Source organism: Homo sapiens, chromosome 11 (assembly GCF_000001405.40).
Source record: "Homo sapiens chromosome 11, GRCh38.p14 Primary Assembly".
NCBI classification, from domain to species: Eukaryota; Metazoa; Chordata; class Mammalia; order Primates; family Hominidae; genus Homo; species Homo sapiens.
This window is the reverse complement of record NC_000011.10, coordinates 41,942,868-41,948,433: the sequence shown is the minus strand read 5'-3', so window position 1 is coordinate 41,948,433 and position 5,566 is coordinate 41,942,868. Positions and strand designations below refer to the sequence as shown.

The window sequence follows — 5,566 nt, the reverse complement described above, 5'->3', positions numbered from 1 at the left end:
TCTAAACAAAGGGCTGGAAATGAAAGTGCTCATCTGGCATCTTTCAGGAAAGCACCTCTTTCTTCTGTTTATTTTTGTCTATGGGAAAATAGCACTCCAAAAGCAAAACCGAAAAATTGTCATTCCTTGATGAAATGTCAGGGTCCCTGAAGCTGCTCTCCTGTTAATCCAGTGGGCTTATTTCTATCATAAGAAACTTACTTGGGAACAGCAGGCAATGAGAATGGGCAGCATGTAAAATAAACTTTATTTAACGTGGGTTCCTTGAACGCAGAAGAAATGGAGGCTTTGAGTGTGCTGAGACAGAACTCTGGGAAGCATGGGACAACTACATTTTAGCTTGTTCCTGATTATGGCCTTTGATCAAAGAGTGAGAGGAAACGCATAATTAAGGTTATAGAGGGTTCTAAGGAAAATGTGAACTTCAGTTTGTTATCCTGGCAGTTCAGGCCAATTTTGCTCTTAAATAATATAAATTAAAACTGTTTAATTTCATTTCTCTTTCTGGCCGCACATGTTTTCTTCGAATAATAGCTAGCGATACGGGAGTGCTGGGAAGGAAAGAGCGTGGTCCCTTTAAATGATACAGAAGCGGGGACAGGGGAATGCTGGGTAGAGAGGGTCTGGTCCCGGGCTAGGTCTGCACCCCCATGGACCTAGGTGAGGACAGGCACTCCTGCCTTACCGCCCAAATGTTACATTTTCCAAGACCACCCTGGCCTGCCACGCCCCCATGTTGTGCCTTTAGAAACCCGAGACCCTAGCAGGCATACACAGAAGCGGCTGGACGTCATGAGGAACACATTAACTGAAGAGCATGCCGACAGGCACCCGCAGGCCAGCAGGCCATCAGCTGGCTGAACGACGCAGAGTTTGGCAGAGCAGTTGAAGAGGAATGGCCGCTGGGTGGCCGGACTCCAGGGGAAAACCATCTCCCTTCTGGCTGCCTCATCTGTTGAGAGCTACTTCCACTCAATAAAACCTTGCACTCATTCTCCAAGCCCACGTGTGATCTGATTCTTCTGGTACACCAAGGCAAGAAACCCTGGAATACAGAAATCCCTCTGTCCTCCTAATAAGGAAGGGTGTCTAATTGAGCTGGTTAACACAAGCTGCCTATAGACGGCAAACTAAAAGAGCACCCTGTAACACCTGCCCACTGGGACGTCAGTTGTAAACATGCACCCCTAGACACTGCCATGGCATCGAAGCCCCACAGCCTTGCCTGTCTGTATGCTCCCCTAGAGATTTGAGCAGCAGGGTGCTGAAGAAGCGAGCGACACCCCATCACATGCCCTGTGAGGGGGACAAGGGAACCTTTTCTGTTTCACTAGGATGACGAGTGTCTCCTCAACAAAACAAACACCAATAACAAAATGAATAAGACTATAGTTAAACATATCTAGACTCTGGACCCAGAAATCAAGACAAGAAAGATAATTTTGTGCATATTGTACAACATCTCTGAGGCTCAGTTTCCCAAACATGGATTCTACAAGTGGAGTATTGAGTTCAAATTCCAGTTCTTCTTACCAATTGTGTGACTTTGTAGTTTAACCTTGTGGTTTCCTCATTTATAAAATTCAGGCAACAATAGCACCTATCTCACTAGTTACTGTGGTAAGTAAATTAGTCCATGTATGGAAACTTAATACATAGGACCCAGTTAGAAAAGAGTCTCAAAAAGTGCTCAGTACATGTTCACTGTTTTGTTGCTATCATTGTTGTTATTATTTTCTCATCTGTCAAAGAAGAAACAACAATTCCTACTTCCCTGAACTGTGACATGTGTAAGTATTATCGATCCACATATCTGTCATAGAATAAGGGCTTAATCCATGACATACTATGTTTCCCAAGAGTTCAATTGTCCCTTTCCACTGCATGCACCTTTCGCCTGGCTTTGCACCTTCAGTCAGGAAGTCCATTCCTGAAGAGTGTGTGAGTCATTCTATGATCAAAAGTATATGTATAGCTATAGTGCTTTTCTAGTTCTCTTCCCCTTTCCTGAAAGAGTTTTTCCATATAAGCTTACCAGAAAAGATAGCTGAATGCAGTGATTTTGAGCCACCTTAGTATTTCTGAGGCTGTAAGACCTTATGTTGTAGCAGCAATGTCTACCTTTTTAGTTGAGATTGAAGACAGAGAGAAGTTAAACATAGATTCTCAGTTCCTCTTCTCAAAAGCCGTAACTCCAGTTCTACACAGCATTCCACATTGCAACTCCCATTTGCCCTCCAAAAAGAGTTACTGATGGACTGGGAAAGCAGATTGGAAAAAATAAAAATAAAAAAGAAAGACAGAGGTGATCCATCCCTCTCTGTTTGCTATGGTTCAAAAAGCATGATGACTTCCGCAGCCCTCAGGACTAGGTTTGAAAGAGGCATTAAAGAGTTGTGGAGACCAGGAAGAGATTCTAAGTCTGTCTGGGAGAGTAAGAAACGAGATGATGTTTGAACTAGTCTTGGATAAATCCAAGTTTAGAAGAGTGGGATATACAATAATTTGGTGGTGAGAATAACGTCTTCAAACCATGGAAGGTACAATGATGCCTTTGTTTATTCCATCTTGATCTTGGAGAACTTATTGTTACTATATTTTTAAATGAAGTGAGAAAGAAGGAGGAAATGGACAGATGTTCCCAAAAGGAAGTCCTTTTGGCTTTTACAAATGCCATTGGATTACATAGATTCCTTGGAATACAATTTATACACAGCCCCACTCTTAAGGCACTTGCATCTAACACTGAGTACAAATAGATAAAAAAAGAAGAGTCATGGGTGATAAGAGTTAAAATAAATAAAATACAGCATAACAGGAGGACAAACCTAGCTTAAAAGTCAGACAAAACCTTTTTGAAACAATTTGTTTAAGTTGAGACTTAAAGAAAAAGAATTAAAGAAAACCTTGGTCTCCTATTGATCAGCTTGAAAGACACTTATATGTACTTAGTTAAAACTTAGACATTATGAGTTACTATATGAATGTATATAAATATATATATATATACACAAATAATTTTTAAAAATTAGATAAGTGAGTTCCACTTAATGCGTTCAATTTTGGTAGACAATACTCTAAAAATTTAGCATTCTTTAAAAGCTAAAAGTGAACCTTACTGACGTGCCAGTTTTAAATCACCGAAATACAAGTTTCCCAAAGATTTTTCCAATACTGAAATTCTATAATTCCTTAATTAGTACATAAAATGCAATAATAATTTATGTGCATTTATGCATGATTTTATAAGAAGTACCTCCAGTTTTTTTGCTCAATTATTTCTTGAAATCCTCTTACCATTAGTACAAACTACTGCTAAATTTTAGCGACTAACCAACAACTGTTCACTGAAACAAATAGAGATAGTATAGTAAATTCACTCAGCATATCACTCTAGGGTAAGGTTGCATGGGTTTGGATCCAGGCTCACACACATTTTTATAAAGCCTTTAAGCCTCCATTACCTCATCTGTATAAAGAAAACAGACATATAGACAACAGTAAGATAATTCACATAGAATTCTTAATCTAGTGCCTGGCATATAGTTAGCAATTATGACTTAATATCCATACCAAGTCTGAACTAAGCATATCTCTCTTCTCCAGATGAGAAAACTGAGTGTCGTAAGTTCAAGGTAAACAATTTGTTTAAAGACAAGGAATTAAATAAATCGGATACAAAATTAGGTATTTGGGTCCAAATGAATAGGTACTTCCATAGAAGAATAGTTCTGCCTATCACAGAGTTATGGTGGTGTCTGATAAGCTTGGGGGCATAGGCATCCCCAGCATGATTCCCACTGCATGATCCTCACTCGGCAGCAGTATACCGAATTGGAGATAAAGAAGAAGAACCTGTTTACTTGCCTTGCAACATTAAAAACCCAACCAAGTTCTCAGCTACCACATCATGACACAATAGTATGCCTTGATCTACTGTGAGGTAGATCCAAATAATTTGTTACAGCTAATAACCAGAATGGGAAAGTTTGTGAATATCCTGCATTGTTTTAAAGAAAGCAGATTCAAGGTTATCTCTATAATAACCTCTCTTTCCCTCATTTACATTCAGATACATTTTCTTGAGTGGTTGGAGAAGAAGTGGTGTTTGAGCTAATTCGGGAAATTGCAAATGAGTGCCATACATGCAAATGTCATCTGTCAGGTGTGTCTGATGAGAAAAAAAGTAAGTGCAGCTGCTTTAAATAGTGGTGAGAGTACAGGCAATCTCTTAGCAGCTAGGCTATTGCCCATGAAACACTTGTCAGGACTTTTATTTGCTCTTCACAATTAGTGCCCACTCCTTTTTTTCATAGTTGCTGGGTTAATACAAATCCTTAGGAAAGCCATGGCCTGGGGCTGCTTACTCTGATCAGGCTGCTGCTGCATCCTACCAGAACATTGTCCCTGTCAAGGTTCACCTAGATGGGCACTCCCCCAGGACTGGTAATCCTGGCACCGCTTAGCTCTCCTGCATGCCCAGCCTGCAATGGCAGAAGCCTCTGGAAAAACAGTGGTGGGAAGAAAGGGAGGAAAGCAGAGGGTTATGCAATATGCACCAAGTCAACTCCTTGAAATCCTGCTCACAGGTTTCCAGAACAAGATTGAAGTGACAGAAGGAGGCTGCTCTGACATGTCTCTGGGAGGTGCCTTGATGGTGACTGACAGCTTGTTAGGCAGAGGTCTAATTGAACCCAACGGCCTCATAAGTGAATGCCAAGTGCTCTAAGCCAAAGGGAAAGGAAGTGTCTGTTGGGCTTACTGTCCGCATTTCCCCAGCAGTGGCGTACAAATTACCGTTTTGCTGGGGCACCTCTTGCCAGTGGGTTTCCTGAGTTTTGCTGTTTTTATAATTAATTACTGACCCTGGAGTGTGTGTCATATACTAACCAAGGTTTCCAGCAAGAGGCAGATTATTCTACATAAGGCAATAGGGCATTGTCTGCAGCTGCTTTAAAGAAGTATGAACAACAAATAACCAGATGAAGAAGACATTCCAGCTTCGGGAACCAGAGCCTTCCTGCAGAGGGAACTCTTAGAAATTAGAAGATTGCAGGAAAATGGGAGCAATTTTTTCCTTTCTAACAAAAAGCTATTCAACCTTTATTAAATAATCATTAATATTGTGTTAAGTGCTTTACATGTATGATTTTCTTTCTATCACAAAACTGATAAACCCCATTTTACAGATGAAGAAACTCACACATAGCTTAGATACCCAAGGATAAGTATTCAAGAATAGTGAGTATTGGGGTAGGGACTTGATCTCACATCTGAGTTCCAAAATCGTGCAATTTGTGCTGTAACGAATTGGTAGTATTTCTAAAATACCTGCTCTGGACTGAGGATTCTGGAATTGTGTTAACAGGGACTCCAGTGATCAAGTCAGTATTAACAATTGTAATGAGGAGGATGAGTATAATGATAATGACAATGACAATAGCATAATGTTTTGAGATAGCAACTCATGTTTGTTTGTTTTTCTCTTCCTGAATTTCTCTTTCCTTAACCTCTATTCCAGCGGAGACTACCTCCTGTAGTTTTTTCCTCAGTCAAGGTGGCTGCA

General features: G+C 40.3%; 1 annotated feature.

Annotated features, from left to right (window-relative positions):
- Positions 303–803: an enhancer, noted in NCBI's record as "H3K4me1 hESC enhancer chr11:41969181-41969681 (GRCh37/hg19 assembly coordinates)". NCBI's record gives its function as "activates a minimal SCP1, AML or CMV promoter by ChIP-STARR-seq in primed H9 embryonic stem cells {active_cell/tissue: H9 hESC(primed)}" and the evidence as "EXISTENCE:reporter gene assay evidence [ECO:0000049][PMID:30033119]".